Raw genomic sequence first — 25040 nt, 5'->3', positions numbered from 1 at the left:
CTGTTGTCCAACATCTAAAAGACATTATTTTATATGTTTTGTCCAATTTGCTAGTTGTTTAAGGTGGGAGTATCAATCATGTTCCTCTTACTCCATATTTTCCCAAAGTGGAAGTCAACATACCATGTATTGGGTTGTATAAGAGAATCTCCTTATTCTTAGGATATTCATGATGAAATGTTTGGGTTAAAGTATTATTATGTCCCTAAATTACTTTCTAATATTTCAGAAAAAAGAAAGTAAATATTAGAAAGTATTAATAATTATTGAATGTTGAAGGAATGTATATATGTCCATGGTGCTATTTTCTCAGCTTTTCTGTATGTTTGAAATTTTTCAAGATAAAAAGTTTTAAAAAAAAGACTAGGGATAAATAAAATGTTATAGCTAAATATGGAGAGTTGAATTATGAGTATATAATTTATTGTTTTTCCTGTTTTAAATTCTAAAAATGAATTCTAATTTAAAATATAATATTTATAATAGAATCTAAAACTATAAGGGATCTAAAAATAAAATTAACAGAATTTGTATGAGAAAATTATAAAATACCTTAAAATAAAGAGATATAACATGTCTATGGATTAGAAGAGTTAAGTATTGTTCAGATACCAGTTTTTCCCAAATTAATGTATAAATTCTTTATATTAATAATTTCTACCAAAATATTAGTAGAATTTTATGTGGAACTTGGCATGTTCATCCTAAAATTGACATGGAAAAGAAATGACTAAAACTAGCCGGGCGCAGTGGCTCACACCTGTAATCCCAGCGCTTTGGGAGGCCAAGGCATGCAGATCATGTAAGGTCAGGAGTTTGAGACCAGCCTGGCCAACATGGCAAAACCCCGTCTCTACTAAAAATACAAAAATTAGCCAGGCCTGGTGGTGTGCATGTGTAGTCCCAGCTTCTTGGGAGGCTGAGGCAGGAGAAGAGCTTGAACCCAGGAGGCGGAGCTTGCAGTGAGCCGAGATTGTGCCACTGCACTCCAGCCTGGGCGACAGAGCGAGACTCCGTCTCAAAAGAAAAAAAAAAAAAAGAAATTATGAAAAACATCCAAGACAATTTTGAAGAACAGCAAGGTCAAACCAACTTACCCCACCATATATCCAGATAGTTAAAGTTAGAGCATTGGAAGGGCAAACAAAACAGAGAATAGAGATCCCAGAAATAGACACACACACACACGATAACTGGATGCTGGATGTAAGAGAAGACTGGCATTAAAAATCACTGAGGAAAAGATGTATTAGTGTTCTATCTGTGTTTATCAGTTATCTATATATATATTAGTTTTCTATTTGTATAGCAAGTCACCACAAACTTACTAGCTTAAAACAACACTCATTCATTATGTTACAGTTTTTTTTAGGTCAGAAGGCTGGGCATGGCATAGCTGGCTTCTTCGTTCAGTGTCTCACAAGGCCAAAATTAAGGTGTTGGCTGGGCCTGCAGTCTCACTTCAGGCTCCAGATTCTCTTCCAAGTTCACTGGGTGTTGGCAGAATTCTGTTCCTTACAGTTGTAGAACAAAGATCACTGCTTTCTTGCTGGCTGTCAACTGGAGATTGTTTTCAGCACCCATCAGTATCCAGCATGTGTTCCTCTTCATAACATGGTGGTTTGCTCCCACAAAGCCAGTAAGAGAATCTCATTGACTTTGAATCTAACATCATTTAAGGGCTCATCTGATTAGGTCAAGCTTACCCAGGTTAATCTAGATTTTTGAGAAACTACAGGTAAACTAATTAGGAACCATACTTATGTATGCAAAAATCCCCTCTGCCAATTAGGTAACATAATCACAAAGTAATATCCCATCATATTCTCAAGTCTCACACTCAAGAAGAGGAGATTCCAGCGTCTGGACACCAGGGGACAGAACTCTTGGGGGCCATCTTAGCGTTTTGTTCATCACAGAACGTGATTGCCTAGCTATATTGAAAAAGGTAAAATTAACTCCCATCTTTGCATCAATCACAAAAATTAATTCTTTTAGAATTTACTTTTAGAAAAATATTTAAGAGAGAGTAACTATAAATTGGGGTGGGAACCCATTTAAAAAATAAGATGCAAAAAGTAAAAACAGTAAAGGACAAGTTTTATTAATTTTACTGTATTAAAAATTTAAACTTCTGACCAATTAAAGATACCATAAACAAAGAGAAAAGGGAAAATCACAGACTAAGAGACACTTTCAACCCATTAATTAAAAATGCACTAATACCCAGAATACAGGGCCTTCAGGCAGGGTGGCGAAAGCTAGAAAGTGTTACCTTCACCCTAAGAAGAAAAAGCCAGATAATCTGCAAAGTCAAAAATCTCCCTGAACCATCAGAGAGCTGCAATTGCAAAGCAAATAAGTAGCATGAAATCTAAGGAAGACAGGTAAACCAGCAGCACTGGCCTACCAAGAGGAGGGTATGGGAGCTGTGGGGTGTGGGGAGACGGGGTAGCCACACAAATGGGTAGAAAGAACTCGGCTAACACTTTAAGCAAATTGCTAAGGCCAAGGATGGGATCCTGCAACCCCTGGAAGCCACTGACTTTATAAAGAGATTTACACCCACTTGCAGGCTGTTCTGCACAAGCCTCCATCAGCCCCTCACAACGAAGTCTGGGGGCAAGTGGGAGACTTGAGGAAACCACCGTCAGTGGTGCAGGCCCTGAGGGAAAACTGTTAGGGGAAGCTCCAAGCTCCACCCAGACCTTCTCCCCTATAGGAAAGAAACAAAACATCTTAAGCTCCTCTGGAAAAGGGCAACAAGCCATGTTATCCCAGGGCACAGGGGAAGTGGAAGAAAACAGGAAAAATCCTCTATGCCTAGAGGAGTAGCAAGAAATGATCCTGAGTCCAGATCATCCACACTTTCCTGCTACTGGAAAAGGGGCAGGATATTTGAGAAAGCCCCACCCCAACGCAGTGCCTGCCCAAAACTGAGGCTAGACTAGGACAAGAATCAAACCCACCCAACCTCCACTGCCAGGCTAGCAATCACCCAGTTACGAAAACTGATCTACGTGTGGGTGAAGGCATGAGCCTAGAAAGAGACCCTTTCAGAGACACAAAAGCACAGCAGCTTGAAGTTGAAGGTAGATTAGGAACATAAACAAAAACCCCAGTCCACTTAGCCCACAGCAGATTATGCCAGGGGAATTTGAACCTGGTAGTACACTGAAGGTTAACCACAGCAGCAGCAAAACCAGCTCAACTCCTGGCTGGGTTAACTCAAACCCCCACACTGATGGTCTAGCAGAATAAGAGCTATGCCCATTTCTAGGCATAAACATTTACCTGTCTGTACTATTGTTTTGTATTCTTTTATAATATGGCCCGTCAAGTGTAGCCACAAGAGGAGACACACAGAAAGGATGGGGGTGGGTGGGACAAGACCAAAGTGAATTATATTCACAGGACCTAGAGACAGGAGGCACATCATTCCATGCAGGGTCACAGTAAAGACACCAGGTGGTCAGGAGGCAAAAGACAGGAGCAAGAGGAACACACTAGGCCAGAGCCTTTATTGGGGTTTCCATGGGAAAGGCAAGGCAGGGCAGGGTGAACAGCTTAGAACTGGCTTGTTTGAATAATTTCAGAGAGACTTAAACTATAGGAGCGGCGCCTAGTTGCCTGGTACCTGGCCCTGGGATGACTAAGGCAGAGGAATATTGTCTCCTGTGGTGTACAGGCCTGCTAGAGGCGGCATGGAGTCTCTGGATTGGTCAGTTTGCAGATCAAAGGCATACTCCTGGCTGAGCCCTTGCTATGCATAAGACTTGGCTAACCCCAGGAGGGGCAGTCATTCCCCAGCTAGAAAGGTTCTTTTTCATTTAGTTTTGTTTTTAAGATGTCAAAACATCATAATATACCGAACATTAAAAAGAACACTCACAGCTAGCTGGGTGTGGTGGCTCACATCTATAATTCCAGCACTTTGGGAAGCCAGGGCAGGCTGATGCCTTGAGCCCAGGAGTTCAACTCCATCTCTGCAAAAATTAGCCAGCCATGGTGGTGTGTGCCTATAGTCCCAGCTACTTGGAAGGCTGAGGTGGGAGGATTGCTTGAGCCTGGGAGGTGGAGGTTGTGGTGGCCAAGATCACGCCATTGCACTCCATCCTGGGCAACAGACTGAGACCCTGTCTCAAAAAAAAAAAAAAAAAAGTAGGCCGGCCATGGTGGCTCACACCTATAATCCCAGCACTTTGGGAGGCCGAGGCAGGTGGATCACTAGGTCAAGAGTTCGAGACCAGCCTGGCCAACATGGTGAAACCCCATCTCTACTAAAAATACAAAATTAGCCAGACATGGTGGCGCGCACCTGTAATCCCAGCTACTCAGGAGGCTGAGGCGGGAGAATCACTTGAACCTGGGAGGCAGAGGTTGCAGTGAGCCGAGGTCATGCCACTGCACTCCAGCCTGGGCGACAGAGCAAGACTCCTTCTCAAGGAAAAAAAAAGTATTCACAATACAGTTGTCCTACACAAGTCTGGCATAGCTGGGTTATCTGTTCATGGAATCACAATTTCAATAAAAAGTATGAAATATATACCCAAAAAAATCCACCGTCAAAATACAAAGCTAACAACAATCAGACTCAAAGATGACCCAAACAGACAGAGAATTTAAAATAACTACAATTAACATGTTAAAGGCTCTAGTGGAAAAATTGGGCAATATATAGGAACTGATGGGGGAATTTTAGCAGAAAAGTGAAAGGATAAGAACAAGTCCATGGGAAATGCTAGAAATAACACAGTAACATAAATCAAGAATGCCTTCAACATGCTTATCAGTAGACTCAATACAGCCAAGGAAAAAATCAATAAACTTGAAGATAAGTACATGGAAATTACCCAAAGTGAAATACAAAGTGAAAAAAGAAAGAAAAAAAATGGAACACAGCATCCAAGATCTATGGAACAATATCATATTGAGAACTTGGCAAACATGTTATTTGAAGAGATAATGGCTAAGAATTTTTTTAAAATATGAACAACATTGAACGACAAAATCTAAGAAGCTTAGGGAAATCCAAGAAGATAAATTTTTAAAAGCCATGCCTAGACACATCATACATAAACTGTTGAAAATTAAATATAAATTTTGAAAACAACCAGAAAAAAATTACGTACAAAGGAAAATGATGATATAACAGCAGATTTCTTGTCCAAAACTGAAGCAAGCCAGAAGGCAATGGAGGCCAGGCAGGGTGGCTCACGCCTGTAATCCTAGCACTTTGGGAGGCTAAGGCAGGTGGAATACTTGAGGTCAGGAGTTTGAGACCAGTCTAGCCAACATGGCGAAACCCCATCTCTACTAAAAATACAAAACTTAGCCAGGCGTGGTGGCAGTCGCCTGTAATCCTAGCTACTCGGGAGGCTGAAGCAGGAGAATCACTTGAACCTGGGAGGCAGATGTTGCAGTGAGCCAAGATCATGCCACTGCACTCCAGCATAAGTGACGGAGCAAGACCCTGTCTCAAAAAAAAAAAAAAAAAAAAAAAAGAAGAAGAAGAAGAAGACAAAAGTACTGCTGGGGCCGGGAGCGGTGGCTCACACCTGTAATCCCAGCACTTTGGGAGGCTGAGGTGGGCGGATCGCGAGGTCAAGAGATAGAGTCCATTCTTGCCAACGTGGCGAAACCCCGTCTCTACTAAAAATACAAAAATTATCTGGGCGTGGTGGTGCGCACCTATAGTCCCAGCTACTTAGGAGGCTGAGGCAGGAGAATGGCTTGAACCCAGGAGGCGGAGGTTGCAGTGAGCCAAGATCGCGCCACTGCACTCCAGCCTGGCGACAGAGTGAGACTCTGTCTTTCTTAAATAAATAAATAAATAAATAAATAAATAAAGTACTGCAGGGAAATGATCAACCCAGATTTCTATATCAAAAAAAAAACCTTTCAAAATGAAAGGAAAATAAATACTCTATTAGGCAAGGAAATACTGAAAGAATTTGTTACCAGCAGAGTTGCACTACAAGAATGTCAAGGAAGTTCTTCAGGAAGAAGAAATATGATAGCAGAAATGAACTTGGATTGACAAAAAGAAATAAAAATTTCCAGGAATGGTTAAAAATGAAGGTCAATATAAAAGACATTTTTAAAATTTAAAGAGATATAAATAATATTCTCTTTAAAGAGCTCCTATAAATTAACATGAAATGGCAAATACTCCAATAAAACAAAATAGATAAAGGACCAAAAAGACAAATGGAAAAGGAAACCCAAACAGCTGATAAATAGAGTATGTTTTCAAATGTTCAACCTCACTAATAACTGGAGAAATGTACATTAAAGCAAAATGAGTTAAAAATGACTTACCACATTAGAAAAATAAATAAATCAGATGTGACCAAGTAGGATGTGAGGAGGATGTGAGAAAACTGGAACTCCCATGCATTGCTGGGGGCAGCATAAACTTGTGCAGTGACTTTGAAGAGTGACTTTGCAACACCTTGTAAAGCTGATTGCATACACATCCTCCCACTCAGTACTTTCGCTTCACCTAATTTTCTCTATATATGTTTCATAATTTAAAATCAAGTTTTCCATCTTGGCTAACACGGTGAAACCCTGCCTCTACTAAAAATACAAAAAAAAAAATAGCCGGGCATGGTGGCATGCGCCTGTAGTCCCAGCTCCTCAGGAGGCTGAGGCCGGAAAATCACTTGAACCTGAGAGGCAGAGGTTGCAGTGAGCCGAGATCGCGCCACTGCACTCCAGCCTGGGCGACAGAGTGAGACTCTGTCTCAAAAAAAAAGAAAATAAAATAAAATTTTAAAAAAATATTCAGCAATGCTAGATTTAAAAAACAAATAATTTTTACTAAAACTATACTGAATGTAGCCTATTGCCAGTTTTTCTCATAGCAGCCTGCTTTAAAAAATACCATGACCAAATTTCTGTGTGTTACTTCTCTTGAGGCTGTTCAAAAACTTAAAGATCAGCAAATCTTTATACCAAGAGTAGATTTCATTGACTAATGTCTGAAACAAGTGGCTAGTGCTTTTGTATCCTAAAATGCTATTGCTGGCCAGTTTTTCTCATACTCAATAAGCTTCTGAGATTCTGTGTTCTTCATTTGAGTGAAATAGAAACACTCCTTTGAACAAAGAAAAGATTATCAATCTGGTACCACATCATACTCCTGCAGATCAAACCAAAATAACCAAAATGGACCCAATTTAAGCATCTCACCTTCAAAATATAGCAGAACTTCTTTCTAAAAGTGGAAGAATAAAAGTTGTATCTTCTAAATGGAAAACCTATTAGAGAAATTATATTTAGAAGAAAAGAAATAAGATTAAGAAACATTTTTTAAGAACTTAAGGTCAGAGCTATATAATGATAAATTAGTAGATTATATTTATGTTCTAGTTGATGAATAATAAGCATTATATTATCCTAGCCACTAAGAAATTCACTACAAAAATATTGCATGGGAACTCAATGAATATTATGCAAGCATTAAAATTATGATTTATGTTCTAATTACAACTATGGCAAAAGGTACATAGGATAAGATGAAATAAATATAATTTAAAAGAAAAATAAATAAAACTAATGTCTCTTCTTTCCCAATAATTTAATTCAACATCTATTTTTTGGAACTTTGGAATTCTCATTTTGCAAGTTTGCTATTGTTTAGAGCTTCGGGATGGCAGACAGAGCAAATGTGGAATACAACTCTATCTCCTCCAATATGTAAAAATGGCATAGAGAATATTTAAAATATTTCATATGCATCTGTGTTACAGAGCAAGAAGGGTGTTATAAATAAAGAGGATGCCACAGCAGAATGTTGGATTTGCAGTTAGATGTCTTCTGGAGCTCACCTGTCCTTATATACCAGACTTTTAATATACCTTACAGTCAGGTGAGGAGAGGAGTCAGGGTTGCAAGTGAGAGGCTGATACTGGGCTTCCATTATAAAGCCAGAGCCCGGAAAGAATGATCCCGGTAAGACTCTACTCACTGGCATGGGGACTGCAGGGCTCCCCAGCAGTATCTCCACACTGTGGAGGGAGAGCAGTCTTGAGTGAACATGGTTTCTTCCCTGGGATTCCTCAGCACTCCCTGCTATATCACTACATATCAAGGTCAAGATAACTACAACAGAAACTTTCCTTCGTAAAAAGGACGGGTGGAGGACACACAGCAATCATTGGTCAGTAGCAATTATGAAATCTGATAGGACAGGCATTGTGAGGCAGCTGGAGAATTTCCTTGATTAGACCTGTTTCCACTCGTTAGTGGAATTCCTTTTCGTTTGTGTCCCCTGGGTCACCCCTCTGGTGGTTCTTCCATGTTCATTATCCTCCTCGGTCACATCTGTGGTGGGCATTGGAGATTATGCCTTACTTGGGAGCCTCAAGATTTCACAGCCTACTTCCTGCCTCTGCAAATTTGGGAGGCAGGGATTGTTTCAATCTCTTAAAGGCTTTTTAGCACAGGCTCATGGTTTCTTCTGCAATATAACTTTCTCAAAAGCTCAATTGGCTTAAAATTTATTTGCTTCAGGTCAGTTTCATGAGCCAGTAGGCACACGCACCATTTGTTCCTAGATATATCTTTCCAAACACATCAAGTAAGGTTCACGACATTAGCCTCTTTCTCACTCCCAGGCCTCTTTCTCTTTCTCTTTTTCCAGTTAGTGGCAGCTTGAAGCCATTATCTTGTGAGAAGACTCGATTTTTTGCTTCAGGGTTCAGTCTTGATGGGCCTTTGGCATTCAACTTTTTTCTCAATGTCTCTTATTCTTTAGCGTTTAGGAGCAGGTGGCTTCTCCAACCCTGCCACTCTAGTCCTCTCAGACCCGGACAAGAGAGGTGGCTCCCTGAATCCCACACTTTAGAGGGTTCTTCTGTCACTCAAGATCTGGTACTCAGCACTAGCACAGCACAACCCATAACCTCAAACATCTGCTCACATAACTCACACCATTCAGACCTCAGAGAAACACCGCTCTACATCTTTCATATGCCACCAAAAAAGTGACTGCATCAAAGAGTTGTGAAGTTTTTTGTGGGATGTGTCATTGCCAGTGTCAGAGATGAACACTAGTTTATAGTTCAGGGAAGATCTGAGTGGTGGAAGTACTTAGGTAAGAAAAAAGAAAAATTAAGTTGTCAAATATTTTCTCTCAATGTGAATGCAATGTATTCCTGCACAAAGAAGTTTCATTTCCCAGTTATCTCAAATGCTTATTTTCTTCTTTTCCTGGTCCAGTTTGTATATTGTCAAAAGATGCACACGCTGCCTGAGAAACATTTTGCAGTACTAACAATTCATATTACTCTTAAATGTGTAGTATATCGGCTCTAAATGCATGTGTGAAGTGACCGATTCCCTTTGTATTGGCAACTATATGGACATTAAACACTGGAATTGCAATAAGAATTACAAAATGTTAATAAGATTTAACTAACCACCCAGCCATAGACTAATGTATCATTCAGGTAGTGTCCATACAAGAAAACAGAAAACAAACATATTGAAGACTAAAAAATAAGAGAACACTGAAGTAAAACAGAAGTAATAACTGCAAGAAGCAGCCACAACCTCTGCGGCTGGGAGACAAAGAGAAAAGATTGAAATTACAGAACTCAGAAATTCAGAGGGAGGGTCTCACAGAGCAGGGACTCAGACCGCTGAGGAGAGGACAATAAGGCTGGTTCTGGGACTGCCAAAAGAAGTTGGAGGGCCAGGCAGAGTGGCTCATGCTTGTAATTCCAGCACTTTGGGAGGCCAAGGTGGGTGGATCGCTTGAGTCCAGGAGTTTGAAACCAGCCTGGGCAACAAAAATACATAAAATTAGCCAGGCATGGGTGGCACATGCCTGTGGTCCCAGCTACTTGGGAGGCTGAAGTGGGAGGATCACTTGAGCCCAGGATGTCAAGACAGCAGTGAGCCATGATTGCGCCACTGTATTCCAGCCTGGGTGACAAAGCAAGACCCTGTTTCAAAAAGAAAAAAAGTCGGAGACTGGAAACGAACCAACTGATACTACTGGGGTGCAGAACCATTGTTGGGCAACATGAAATGTATAGCCAGCAAATATGGAAGAAGCAATTCCCTTCTCCACTTCTCTTACCTTCCAGTTTCCCTCTCGTACCCTGTGTTGGTGGAACTTACCATGAAGTCAGCTGATAAAAGAGAAGGTATAGCTGATCCTTGAACATGAGTTTGAACTGCACAAGTCCATTTATAAACAGATTTTCTTCTGCCTCTGCTACCCCTGACATAGCAAGACCCACCCTCCTCTTCCTCCTCCTCAGCCTACTGAACATGAAGACAATGAGGATAAAGAACCTTATTATGGGCCGGGCGTGGTGGCTCATGCCTGTAATCCCAGCACTTTGGGAGGCCGAGGCAGGTGGATCACCTGAGATCAGGAGTTCGAGACCAGCCTGACCAACATGGTGAAAACCCGTCTCTGCCAAAAATACAAAATTAGCTGGGGTGGTGGCGCATGCCTGTAATCCCAGCTACTTGAGAGTCTGAGGCAGGAGAATTGCTTGAACTCGGGAGGCGGAGGTTGCGGTGAGCCAAGATCACGCCATTGCACTCCAGCCTGGGCGACAGAGCAAAACTCTGTCTCAAAAAAAAAAAAAAGAACTTTATTATGGTCCACTTCCACTTAATGAATGTAAATATATTCTCTTCCTATGGCTTACTTAATAACATTTTCTTTTCTCTAGCTTACTTTATTATAAAAATATAGTATATAATACATAGAACATTCAAACTTTGGAACAATCAACTGTTTATGTTATCAATAGGGCTTCTCATCAACAGGAGGCTATTAGTAAAGTTTTGGCGGAGTTAAAAGTCATACTGAGATTTTTTACTGAGGCACTCCCAATGCCTACATTGTTCAAGGGTCAACCGTAGTTTGCAGAGCCCCAATCTCAGCATCAAAAACCAGAGTGTAGAAAGCTGGAAATGGATCTGGAAGACAATAGCTTAATAACTGGCCCAACTACATTTCCTAGCATTTCTGAGCCTCCCCATCACTGGTACAGGCAGGTGACTAAACTCTGGCTCATTGAATGTGTATAAATCACATATGTAATTCTTAGGTCATGCTCTTAAGGAAAGAGTGTTCCCTCTCCTATCCCTTCTCCCCTTCATCTTGCTGGAATGTTAATGTGGTGGTGAGCCATGGTGATCACACAAATAAGGTTAACACCATATGGATGGTGGGATAAAAGATTAAAGCAGGCTGGGTCTCTGAAACCACAAAGCTGTCATACATTGATGGAGAAACTTAGATTTAAATAGGCTTATTGGGAGTGACATCAGCAAGATGGCTGACTAGAGTTACCTGGCACTTATCCTCTCCTCAAAAAGGGACCTAAACAATGAAGAAACAACTATATTTTGACTAGAGTAACTGAGGAAGTACACTGGAGAGCATCCGGGGAATAGCAAAATCCCTGTGGAGCATGGAAGCTCCAGACAGCCCTGTAGTGAGGGGAGTGAGACATTCTGCCTCTGCCATGCTGTGTGCCTTGCCAAGATCAGCTCAGAATCAGGGGGATTTCTTCTTATGGGAAAAGGTAAGCTGGAGATCTCCAGCAATCCTTGCTACAGGAGAGTCCCTCAGTCCTCACAGGATCTGAGTCCAGTTTAGAGAGTAGCTGAGAGTTCAACCAGCTGGAATGCCTCAGAGTAGAAGCTCATCTTAAGCATCCCCCAACCCCATGACCTAAGCTGCCACAATTCAGCACCATTTTTGTTTTGTTTTGTTTTGAGACAGAGTCTTGCTCTGTCACCCAGGCTGGAGCGCAGTGGTGAAATCTTGGCTCACTGCAACCTCCGCCTCCCGGGTTCAAGCGATTCTCCTGCCTCACTGCACTATCACTGCACTATCAGCAGATTTCTCAGCAGAAATGTTGCAGGCTAGGAGAGAATGAAATGATATATTTAAAGTGCTGAAAAAAAAACTATGACCCAAGAATGTTATATTTAGTAAAGCTATTCTTAAGAAAAGACGGACAAACAAAGACCTCAGACAAACAAAACTGAGGGAACTTATCACCACTAGACTGGCCTTACAAGAAATGCTTATGGGAGAGTTATAATTGGAAACTAAAGGATGATAATTACTATCATGAGAGTACATGGAGGTAGAAAACTCACCAGTAGAGGTAAATTTATAAATCAAACTCAGAATACCACAGTGATACAATGGTGCTATGTAAATCTCTCAATCCTTTCATATGAAGATTTAAAGTCAAAATGATCAAAACTAATAACAGCTACAATTAGCGGCTAGGGAACACATAATAGATAAAGAAGTAAATTAAGACAACAAATATATAAATTTTGGGAGGAAGGGAAAAAATCTGCAGTGTCTTTATGTGACCAAAGTTAAGTTGTTGCTGCTACATCTGCATAGAAAAAAAAACAAAGTTAAGTTTCTGTCAGCTAAAAATAGTCTGCTATAATTACAACACTCTATAATGTTAGCTCCATGGTAACCACAAAAAGAGAAATTTCAGCAGATACAAAAATGAGAAAGAAAAAGGAAACAAAGCTTAGCACCACAGAGAAACATTAAACCATGCGGGTAGACAATGCGAGGAAGAAAGAAACAAGAGTTTTATTTTTTTTTTAAACAGAAAACAATGAACAAAATAGCAGGGGTTAGTCCTTATCTGTCAATAATAACCTTGAGTGAAAATTGATTAAGTCCTCCAACTAAATAAAAGATAGAGAATACCTGAATAAATTAAAAAACAAGACCCAACTATGTACTGCCTACAAGAAATTAACCTCACTGTTAAAGACAAACATAAACTAAAAGTGAAGGGATGGAAAAAGATATTCCATGCAAATGGAAACCAAAAGCAAGTAGGAGTAGCCACATGTATATCCAATAAAATAGACTTTAAGTCAAAAACTATTTAAGACACAAATAAGTTATTATATAACTATAAAGGGATCAAGTCAAAAAGAGGATATAACAATTATGAATATATATATCCAACACTGGAGCACCTTTATATATAAAACAAATATTGTTAGACCTGAAGGGAGAGATAGATTGCAATACAATAGTAGAGAACTTCAATATCCCACTTTCCCTAGACAAAAAAAATCAACAAAAATTATCAGACTTAAACTACACCATGGACTCAACAGACGTAGCATACATTTACAGAACCTTCATCCAGCTGCTGCAAGACACACATTCTTCTCAACTGCATATGGGGAATTCTCCAATATAGATCACATGTTAGGTCACAGAACAAGTCTTAACAACTTTAGGAAGATAGAGACCACATAAGGTATCTTTTCTGACCACAATGGTATAAAACCAGAAATCAATAAGAAAAATTTTGGAAACTCTACAAATAAATGGAAATTAAACAACATGCTCCTAAATAACATGCTCACTCAGTGGGTCAGTGAGGAAATTTAAAGAGAAGTTTAAAATTTCCTTGAAACAAATGAGAATGAAAACACATCATACCAAATTCTATGGGACACAGCAACAGCACTTTTTTTTTTTTAAAAACAGAGTCTTACTCTGTTGCCCAGGCTGGAGGGCAGTGGTGCAATCTCAGCTCACTGCAACCTCTGCCCCCGGGGTTCACAATTCTCCTGCCTCAGTCTCCTGAGTAGCTGGGATTACAGGTGCCTGCCACCATGCTGGGCTAATTTTTGTATTTTTAGTAGAGACAGGGTTTCACCATGTTGGCCAGGCTGGTCTCGAACTCCTGGGCTCAACTGATCCACCCATCTCGGTCTCCCAAAGTGCTGGGATTACAGACGTAATCCCACTGCACCCGGCCAGCAATAGCACTTCTAAGAAGGAAGTTTATAGCAATAAACACCTACATCAAAAAAGGAGAAAGATGTCTAATAAATAACCTCATTATGCAGCTCAAATAATTAGAAAAGGAAGAATAAACTGAATTCAAAATTGGTAGAAAGAAGCAAATAATAAGGCTGAGAGCAGAAATAAGTGAAATAGAGCCTAAGAAAACAAAAAACATCAACAAAACTAGGAGTTGGTATTTTGAAAAGACAAATAAAACCAACAAATCTTTAACTAGACTAAGAAAAAAGAGATGACTCAAACAAATAAAATCTTAGAAATAAAAGGATCATAAGACACTATTATAAACAACTATATACCAACACATTTGATAATACAGAAGAAATGGATAAATTCCTGGACACATAAAACCAACCAATATTAAATTACGGAGAAATAGACAATCTAAATACACCAATAATGAGTAAGGAGATTGAATCAGTAATAAAAAGCCTCCCATCAAAGAAAAGCCCAGGACCTAGTGGCTTCACTGCTGAATTCTACCAAACATTTAAAGAAGAACTAATACCATTTCTTCAAACTATTCCAGAAAATGGGAGAGGAGGAGAACTCATTTTACAAGGCCAACATTACTCTAATTACCCTGTTTCCAAAACTAGACCAGGACATAACAAAATAAAAAACTATGGACCAATATCCCTGATGAACACTGACATAAAAATTTTCAACAAGTTATTAGCAAACCAAATCCACAGCACATTAAAAAGATTATTCACAGCCAGGCGCAGTGGCTCATGCCTGTAATCCCAGCACTTTGGGAGGCCGAGGCAGGCATATCACTTGAGGCCAGTAGTTTGAGACAAGCCTGGCCAACATGGCAAAACCCCATCTCTAGTAAAAATACCAACATTAGCCGAGCATGGTGACATGCACCTGTAGTCCCAGCTATTCGGGAGGCCGAGGCGGGAGAATCACTTGAACCCACGAAGGGAAGGTTGTGGTGAGCCGAGATTGCACCACTGCACTCCAGCCTGGGTGAAAGAGTGAGACTCCATCTCAAAAAAAAACAAAAAACAAAAAACAAAAAAAAGACAAATGGGATTACATCAAACTATAAAGATTTTGCACAGCAAAGGGAGATATTAACACAGTGAAGGGACAGGCCAAGTGTGGTGGCTCATGCCTGTAATCCCAGCACTTTGGGAGGCCACAGTGGGCAGATTGCTTGAGCTCAATTGTTCAAGACCAGCTTGGGCACAAGGCAAAACCCCATCTCTACTAAAAATACAAAAACTAGCTGGGTGTGGTGGCATGCACCTGTAGTTTCAGCTACTCAGGAGGCTGAAGTGGGAGGATCACCTGAGCCCATGAGGTTGAGTGAACTGTGTTCGCACAACTGCACTAATAATCAGGGAAATGTATTAATAAATAAAATCCACAATTAGATACCACCTCACCCCAGTTAGAATGGCTATTATCAAAAAGACAAAACAAGTATTGGCAAAGATATGGAAAAAAGGGAACACATACACATTATTTATGGGATTGTAAACTAGTATAGCCATTATAAAAAACAGTATGGGGGTTCCTCAAAAATTTAGAAATAGAATGACCATGTGATTCAGCAATCCCACTACTGGGTATATATCCAAAGGAAATGAAACCAGTATGTCGAAGAGATAGCTCCACTGCCATGCTTGTTGCAGCACTATTCACAATAGTCAAGACATAGAATCAACCTAACTGTCCATTGATGAATGGATAAAGAAAATGTGATATGACAATACTAGTCAGTCATAAAAAAGAGTGAAATACTGTTATTTATGACAACATGAATGAACCAGGACACAATGTTAAATGAAATAAACCAGACATAGAAAGATAAATACTGTGTGATCTCACTCACGTGGAATCTAAAACAAAAAAATTGATATTATAGAAACAGAGAGTAGAACAGTGGTTACCAGAGATGGGAGGAGAGAAAGGAGGAGGGGAGGGGAGGAAGAAGAAGAGGGAAATTTGTAGCACTAAATGCCTACATCAGAAACCTAGAAAAATCTCAAAATACCACCCTAATGTCACAATTAAAAGAGCTAGAGAGGCAAGAACGAACTAATCCAAAAGCTAGCAGAAGACAAGAAATAACTAAGATCCGAGAAGAACTGAAGGAGATAGAGACATGAAATACTTTCCAAAAGGTTAATGAATCCAGGAGCTGGTTTTTTGAAAAAATCAACAAAATTGATGAACCACTAGCTAGACTAATAAAAAAAGAAGAATCAAATAGACACAATGAAAAATGATAAAGGAGATATAACCACTGACCCCACAGAAATATAAACTACCATCAGAGAATACTATAAACACCTCTGTGCAAATAAATTAGAAAATCTAGAAGATATGGATAAATTTCTGGACACATACACACTCCCAAGACTAAACCAGGAAGAAGTTGAATGCTGAATAGACCAATAACAAGTTCTGAAATTGAGGCAGTAATTAATAACCTACCAACCAAAAAAAAGTCCAGGACCAGACTGATTCATGGTTGAATTCTACCATAAATACAAAGAGGAGCTGGTACCATTCCTTCTGAAACCATTCCAAACAACTGAAAAGGAGGGACTCCTCTGTAACTCATTTTATAAAGCCAGCATCATCCTGATACAAAACCTGGCAGAGGCACAACAAAAAAAAGGAAAACTTCAGGCCAAAATAGCTGATGAACAGCGATTCAGAAATCCTTAATAACATACTGGCAAACTGAATCCAGTAGCATATCAAAAAATGTATCCGCCACAGTCAGGTTGGCTTCATCCCTGGGATGCAAGGCTGGTTCAACATATGCAAATCAATAAATGTAATTATCACATAAACAGAACCAAAGATACAAACCACTTGATTATCTCAATAGATGCAGAAAAGGTCTTTGATAAAATTCAACATCGCTTCATGTTAAAAACGCTCAATAAACTAGATGGAACATATCTCAAAATAATAAGATATTTATGACAAACCCACAGCCAATATCATATTGAATGGGTAAAAGCTGGAAGCATTCCCTTTGAAAACTGGTACAAGACAAGGATGCCCTCTCTTACCACTCCTATTCAACGTAGTATTGGAAGCGCTGGCCTGGGCAATCAGGCAAGAGAACAACATAAAGAGTATTCAAATAGGAAAAGAGGAAGTTAAGTTGTCTCTGTTTGCAGATGACATGATTTTATATTTAGAAAACCCCATCATCTCAGCCCCAAAACTCCTTGAACTGACAAGCAACTTCAGCAAAGTCTCAGGATACAAAATCAATGTGCAAAAATCACAAGCATTCCTTTACACCAACAATAGGCAAGCAGAGAGCCAAATCATGAATGAACTTCCATTCACAATCGCTACAAAGAGAATAAAATACCTAGGAATACAGCTAACAAGGGATGTGAAGGACCTCTTCAAGGAGAACTACAAACCACTGATCAAGGAAATAAGAGAGAACACAAACAAATGGAAAAAGATTCCATCCTCATGGATAGGAAGAATCAATATCATGAAAACGACCATATTGCCCAAGGTAATTTATGGATTCAATGCCATTTCCATCAAACCATTGACATTCTTCGCAGAATTAAAAAAAAACTATTTTAAATTTTATATGGAATCAAAGAAGACCCCATATAGCCAAGACAATCCTAAGCAAAAAGAACAAAGCTGGGGGCATCACACTATCTGACTTCAAACTATACTACAGGACAACAGTAACCAAACCAGGATGGTACTGGTACCAAAACAGATATGTAGACCAACAGAGCAGAACAGAGACTTCAGAAGTAACACCACACATCTACAACCATCTGATCTTCAACAAACCTTACAAAAACAAGCAATGGGGAAAGGATCTCCTATTCAGTATATGATACTGGGAAAACTGGCTAACCATATGCAGAAAACTGAAACTGGACCCCTTCCTTACACCTTATGCAAAAATTAACTCAAGATGGATTAAAGGTTTAAATGTAAAACCCAAAACCGTAAAAATCCTAGAAAAAAATCCTAGGCAATACCATTCAGGACATAGGCATGGGCAAAGCCTTCATGACAAAAACGCCAAAAGCAACTGCAACAAAAGCCAAAATTGACAAATGGGATCCAATTAAACTAAAGAGCTTCTGCACAGCAAAAAAAGCTATCATCAGAGTGAACAGGCAACCTACAGAATGGGAGAAAATTTTTGCAATCTACCAATCTGACAAAGGTCTAATATCCAGAATTTACAAGGAACTTAAACATATTCACAAGAAAAAAACAACCCCATCAGAAAGTGGGCAAAGGATATGAATAGAGACTTCTTAAAAGAAGACATTTACACAGCCAACAAACATATCAAACAGTGAGATATCATCTTATGGCAGTCAGAATGGTGATTATTAAAAAGTCAGGAAACAACAGATGCTGGAGAGGATGTAGAGAAATAGGAACACTTTTGCACTGTTGGTGGGAATGTAAGTTAGTTCAACCATTGTGGAAGACAGTATGATAATTCCTCAAGGATCTAGAACCAGAATTACCATTTGAACCAGCAATCCCATTACTGGGTATATACCCAAAGGAATATAAATCATTCTACTATAAAAACACATGCACACATATGTTTATTGCAACACCATTTACAATAGCAAAGATATGGAACCAACCCAAATGCCCGTCAATGATAGACTGGATAAAAAAAATGTGGTACATATACACCATGAAATACTATACAGCCATAAAAAGGAATGAGATCACATCCTTTGCAGGGACATGGATGAAGCCAGAAGCCATCATCCTCAGCAAACTAACACAGGAACAGTAAACCAAACACTGCATGTTCTCACTCATAAGTCGGTGTTGAACATTGAGAATACATGGACACAGAGAGGGAAACAATACACACCAGTGTGGGTGTGGAGTGAGGGGAGGGAACTTGGAGGACGGGTCAATAGGTGCAGCAAACCACCATGGCACACGTATACCTGTCTAACACACCTGCACATTCTGCACAGGTATCTCTTTTTTTTTTCTTAGAAGAAATATATATATATATATATGTATATATATTTTTTTTTTTTTTACGGACACGGTTTTCTTTTGCTGCCCAGGCTGGTCTCAAACTTCTGGCCTGAAGCAATCCTCCCACCTCAGCCTTCCAAAGTGTTGGGATTACTGTCATAAGCCACTGCATCTGGCTTGGATTCTTTACTGATCTCAAGATGTTGGACTTTCTCAAAGTTGATACCTAGACTTCTCTATCCATACTCACTTCCCCAAGTTATATAATTATGTCACTTCATGTGCCACTTTAAGCTTAAATGCAAGCTTATTTCTCTAGCTTTGACCTCTCTTTTAAAAACCTTTTATGAACTTAACTGCATTCGGGTGTCTAATAGACATCTTAATAAACATCTTAAACTTAAAAAAAAGAAACTGTACCCAATAAATATGTACAATTACAATGAGTGAAATAAATACATTATTGTTTGAAAAAATACTCTCTCTGCAAAAGAAAGAATAGGTTTGTTGAAACTTTAAGGCACTTTAAAAGGAAAAAAGAAAAAAAAACTGTATAGAAGAAATCATAAAATAGAATAAAATAGGGAAACAACAATAGAGCACAATAAACATATAGTTGGGTGACAAAAGCAACTTCAAACTATGTTCTCTGTACAAGAGATATGTATAAAACAAAAAGAGGTTGAAAATAGAGAAACAAACGAAGATATCTTAGGAAAATGCAAATTAATAAAATTGGGGTGCTCAAGCAACATTAATATCAGGCAAAGTAGCATTCAAAACCTAAAGTATTATACGTGAAAAACAATTTTTTAAATTTATATTACAATGGTAAAAATCTATCAAACATATAAGTAAGCTTTCTTATTCAGAATATCATGAAAATATCTTATAACAAAGTGAAACATGGATAAACTGGAGCCCAAGATTTTTGAGTTCTTGAAGAGAAACTGATAAAGAGTTAAACTTAACTTGTCACACAATACAATTTCAATTCAGCTTTTGATGTTTCAAACATACTTTTTTGTTTTCTTCTGTTTTGAGATGGCGTCTCACTCTGTCGCCCAGGCTAAAGTGCAATGGTGCGATCTTGGCTCACTGAAACTCTGCCTCCCAGGTTCAAGCGATTCTCCTTCCTCAGTCTCCCGAGTAGATGGGATTATAAGCACCAGCCACCACGCCCGGCTAATTTTTGTATTTTTAGTAGAGAATGGGTTTCTCCATGTTGCCCGGGATGGTCTTGAACTCTTGACCTCAAATGATCCACCCACCTCGGCCTCCCAAAGTTTTGAGATTACAGGCATAAGCCACTGTGGCCCTGGCCTTTCAAACATACTCTTATATTAGACAGAAGAACCTAAATTTTGAGAAATGTATTAATAATTACTGGATGATGGTAACACAAGTTGGGATCTAAAAACACTAAAAGAAAAAACAATTATTGGGTGAGTGTATTAGTCCGCTGTCACACGGCTGTAAAAAACTACCCAAAGCTGGATAATTTATGAAGAAAAAAGGTTTAATTGAGTCACAGTTCCACAGGCTATACAGGAGGCATGGCTGGGAAGCCTCGGGAAACTTAGGAAACATGGCGGAAAGCAAAGGGGAATCAAGCACATCTTACCATGGCAGAGCAGGAGAAAGAGAGAGAGTGAAAAAGGAAGTGCCACACACTTTTAAATCATCAGATCTTGTGAGAACTCACTCACTATCATGAGAACAACAAGGGGGAAATCTGCTCCATGATCCAGTCACTTCCCACCAGGTTCCTCCCCCAACACTGGGAATTACAATTCAACATGAGATTTGGGTGGGGACACAGAGCCAAACCCTATCAGCGATTATCCATTTGAGTCTATCAAGCCTTTGTGAGGAGAATGGATTTTTTTTTTTCTTGAAAGTGATGAATATTCCCACTCCCAGTCATCCTGGGAATAGCTCAGGGCACATGAAAAGCTTTTGACTGGAGTGAATGTGACAAGTGTCCCAGGACACTGATTGGCTGGGATTTGGGGCATGTGGACAGTGAGCTACTTCTAACTCAGGAGGGCTGAGAGTGAGGAAGGGACCACCAGGTTAGGCGCCCTGGGAAGGTCTGAGCTGGTGTGGAAGTAATACGTTTCTGGGTTTGTTTGTTTTGTTTTATTTTTTTTGCCTTTTTTTTTTTCCCCTGTAAGATACTTTCCCCCCCATCATCCCAGGACTTACAGGAATGTTTCATTAAGTATTCTTAAATGTGCCCACCTAGTCTCAGCTCTTGCTGTGGGTAACTGAGGCCAAGTTGGTGTGGGGAGAACAGTCACAGCTGGCGAACATAGTCTGGCATCAGCAGGCTGAGGTGGCTGTGACAAGCAGAGAGCCCTCCTGGCTTCTTAGCTCCCACACCTCCTCAGGCACTCTTCGGACTCAGTAACCAGATGTGGTTGCCACTGAGAGTTGGCTGGGCCTTGTGCTCTGGGTCTGCAGTCACCTGTGGTCACCCTGGCCAAAGAGGCTCTGGGCCCAGACCTTGCCACCTGTGTACCTTCTGCTCAAGAGGAAGAGGCCCAAGGCAAAGCCCCCATAGCCCCTGGGCTGGGACTCCTTTTATAAGCAGATTCTGTTCCTTGCTCATTTTCCTAGGGGTGCTGTTGACGTTGGTATTTAATCATTGGTCCAGAGGAGTTATTGAAACTGTGCTAAGTGGCAGTGTGGTCACAGAAGGAAAAGCCCCAAGTCCACGAAGTTTGCAGTCTCATCAAGGAAGCCCTGGGGGTAAACAGTTGGTGCTCAGAGTCCTTTGGAATGTTTCTTGCCAACTGCTTCCAACAGTCCACTCCTGCGGATTCTGCTGGTGGGATCTTAGGGGTATAATTATCAGTGGAATTAGCTGAGGAGTTAGCATGAATGTGGAGGGCCTTATGTAAATTACGACTTTGCGGAGCCTGTTTGTTTTCCCCAAAGGTCACAAGATAAGACCGTTTTATTTCATGGAATTCCAGAAGAAGGGTCTGGGGAAGGTAGACTAAGCAGTCACCAGTGCTCTATTCAGAGAAACAGTGGCAGCTGGATGACATGAGATGATAGATACCAGAGGCTCATTTGGGAGGAGAACAGGCTTTTGGAGACAGTGAAGATGGCTGTAGCTGGGTGGGATGCTATGAGGTCTCTGCCCTGTGCCCCGCTCACTCTTCAGCAAAGTCACAGAGCATCATACAGTATGAAACGTGTTTGGAATTCTTGGGACAAAGGAGAAGGGAAGGAACTTCACTTCTGGGCCTGATCCACAACTGAATCTAGAAGATCTAGGCTTGGGCCGGGCGTGGTGTCTCATGGCTGTAATCCCAGCACTTTAGGAGGCCAAGGCCGGTGGATCACTTGAGGTCAGGCATTCAAGACCAGCCTGGCCAACATGGTGAAAACCCATCTCTACTAAAAATACAAAAATTAGCTGGGCACGGTGGCACGTGCCTGTAGTCCCAGCTACTCGGGAGGCTGAGGCAGGAGAATCCCTTGAACCCGGGAGGCAGAGGTTGCAGTGAGCTGAAATCATGCCACTGTGCTTGAGCCTGGGCAACAGAGGGAGACTCCATCTCAAAAAAAAAAAAAAAAAAAAAAAAGGAAAGAAAAAAAAGATGTAGGCTCAGGAGCTGAGGAGCTGAAGAAAGAGAGAGAACGTAGTAGTGGAAGTAATGGGGTGGGGAGGCTTTTGAACTCATCCAGAACCCGGAATTGGTGTTCAGGCCAGGTTTCACTAAGATTTCTGGAGAAGCACAGAGGCCCCAAGCAATGAATAGCCTAAGGATCTTTCTAGTGGTGGCCCTCAAATTAGCTTACTGCCTGGATCATTGGGACCAGCAGGTAAAAGATGGCACACTTAGGTAATGTGACAGGAGTTTAATAAAGGAACTATATACAGAGGGGTGGGCAAGGCATAGGGATTCTATAAGTTTAGTAATTGGACCCAGTGGTGGTGAGGGCAGAGGAAGAGAGAAAACTGTGTAGAGAGCTGCATGGCAGATCTGGAGAAGTTCAGTTGATAGTTGCAGCCAGCAAACAATGACCCCCCGCCCACCCCCGGGAAGGGAGCTGGACAAACAAATATCCCAAGCTCTTTTTTCTCCTTCCCTCCCATCTCCTGTCCCCTGGCCAAACTCAGTCAAAAGCCAGAGGGCAAAGAAACCTGTTTGTGCATTCTATACAAGTCAACCCCTCAGAACACAAAACAAGATAGAAACAGGTGGACACTGGACCTGGGGTGGAGGAAGGAGAGCAAAGAGAAGATAAGCTGCACAACTCCCGTACGTTATTTAATGTTTTCAAGCAGAAATATCAGTGAATTTAAGATGCCCTTGTACTTCACACCTACTATCTATCAAGTGTTCCATATCAACACTTTATTTTTTATTTTTTTGAGACAGAAACTCGCTCTGACCCTCAGGCTGGAGTGCAGTGGCGTGATCTCAGCTCACTGCAACCTCCTCCTGGGTTCAAGCGATTCTCCTGCCTCAGCCTCCTGAGTAGCTAGGATTACAGGTACCCACCACCACGCCTGGCTAATTTTTGTATTTTTGGTAGAGATGGGGTTTCCCCATGTTGGCCAGGCTGGTCTCAAACTGCTGACCTCCAGTGATCCACCTGCCTCAGTCTCCCAGTGTGCAGGGATTATAAGCATGAGCCACCACACCCGGCCCCATGTCAACACTTTAAAACATGCTCATTTACAGATGAAAAAGCCAAGGTTCAGAGAGGTAGAGACTTGCCCAAGGCCAGAGAGCAGGTGAGCAGCAGAGTTAGGCTGCAAACCTCGGTGCAACATAGAGAAAAAGGAAGGCTTTGGGTTAATACATAAAGTCCTCTTTTGCATCAGTGTGAGAGAAAACATATTTATTTTATTTAAATAGTTTTTTCATTAATTGAGACTACTTTCTTACATGATCCATAATTAGGCAACTTTGGTTTTTAACAAGGGGTTTTTAGTAATAAACTTACAGAAGATTTAGTGTATCCAGCACAGGAGTTGCAGAAACTATTAATTAAGAAGACTAAAAGGTTAGTATGTATCTTTAATGTAAAAAAAAAGTTGATTTTTTAAAAACATGAAATGTTTATTGAAAAGAAGAGTACAAGAATTATAAATACACAATGGTTTCTCAAGCAGGCATAGATTCATACTTCTTATAGAAGGCCGCCTTCCGCATCATTCCATTCCCCTGGTCTTTTTAAAGGGAAGAAAAAATGCACATTCCATTTTCATTGTATTTAAAGACAAATAAAACAGGGTGTAACACTTGAGAAAAGCAAAGTTTTCATTTATACCATAGCTGGTCTAGAAAATTAGAATTAGAAAGTAAAGATTAAAACCAAAGTGCAGCAGGTAGCATGTGTACTTTTCAGTGCGTGTACTGAAACAGGAGTCAAAGGTTAAGTTTCACTCTTGATTTAATTGAACAAAACACCACCTAGTGGTAGTGAAAAATAAATACTTTGGAAGTGAAGAGAACATTCATTTTTTGTAAAAATGTGGGGTTTGGGGCTCTAACTAAATAGCCGGGCAGGTACGATCCTCTTGCACTAAACATCATTCAATAATCTTCTTTATGCATGTGTTCCAGTACAGTGTAGATAGCCAAGGGGATAGAGTCTCTACTTTGAAGACCAGAAAAATATCTTTCCCAAATTTCAGATTTTTTATTTTCAGAACCAGAACATGATGATAATTTGCTTTATTAGGCCTATCAATGAGTCCTATTGTGTTCCCTTCTCTGCGAAGCCCTAGTAGTCACCTCCACTCTTCTCTGGGCTTTATCCATGTCCCCGTCTCTCTGAAAGAGATGGCTTTGCTTTTGCTTCACAGAGAAAAGGGGAATCTTCAGATGGGACCTTGCTCAACTTCCTGCCTTGGATCTGTACGCTGACATCTAGACCCATCTTCTCTCCTTCCCTCCTCTTAGGAGAGAATAGTTTTCCTCTTCCTGTCTGATCTCAAGCCTAATGCTTCCACCAGGACCTGGGTATCTCTCCTAAGCCCCCGATGATCTTTGGCCATCTACCCATCTCTGCTGTCCTGTGCCTTCCTTCTTTTCTCCCCACTGACTCATTCCCTGCTTTGTTAAAATGAGAGATAGCTCCCGTTCTAAAAATAGACTAACCTCAAATTTATTCAGTGACCCTCTAGCTTTAGCTCTATTGTCCTTTACAGCCAGGCTTCTTTAAAAAGACTGTCTAC

General features: G+C 40.4%; 4 annotated features.

The window, feature by feature from the left end:
* Positions 3501 to 4046: an enhancer, noted in NCBI's record as "OCT4-H3K27ac-H3K4me1 hESC enhancer chr2:175921659-175922204 (GRCh37/hg19 assembly coordinates)". NCBI's record gives its function as "activates a minimal SCP1, AML or CMV promoter by ChIP-STARR-seq in naive and primed H9 embryonic stem cells {active_cell/tissue: H9 hESC(naive and primed)}" and the evidence as "EXISTENCE:reporter gene assay evidence [ECO:0000049][PMID:30033119]".
* Positions 4047 to 4594: an enhancer, noted in NCBI's record as "H3K27ac-H3K4me1 hESC enhancer chr2:175921111-175921658 (GRCh37/hg19 assembly coordinates)". NCBI's record gives its function as "activates a minimal SCP1, AML or CMV promoter by ChIP-STARR-seq in naive H9 embryonic stem cells {active_cell/tissue: H9 hESC(naive)}" and the evidence as "EXISTENCE:reporter gene assay evidence [ECO:0000049][PMID:30033119]".
* Positions 4360 to 4561: a silencer, noted in NCBI's record as "fragment chr2:175921144-175921345 (GRCh37/hg19 assembly coordinates)". NCBI's record gives its function as "represses an EF-1alpha promoter that drives an FKBP-Casp9 reporter gene in an ReSE screen in phorbol 12-myristate 13-acetate-treated (for megakaryocytic differentiation) K562 erythroleukemia cells {active_cell/tissue: K562(+PMA)}" and the evidence as "EXISTENCE:reporter gene assay evidence [ECO:0000049][PMID:32094911]".
* Positions 6310 to 6510: a silencer, noted in NCBI's record as "peak3937 fragment used in MPRA reporter construct". NCBI's record gives its function as "represses an SCP1 promoter by STARR-seq MPRAs in K562 erythroleukemia cells {active_cell/tissue: K562}" and the evidence as "EXISTENCE:reporter gene assay evidence [ECO:0000049][PMID:32103011]".

The sequence above is a fragment of the Homo sapiens genome, chromosome 2, assembly GCF_000001405.40.
Source record: "Homo sapiens chromosome 2, GRCh38.p14 Primary Assembly".
Classification (NCBI taxonomy): domain Eukaryota; kingdom Metazoa; phylum Chordata; class Mammalia; order Primates; family Hominidae; genus Homo; species Homo sapiens.
Note: the sequence above shows the minus strand (reverse complement) of the source record. Positions and strands in the feature narration are given on the sequence as shown.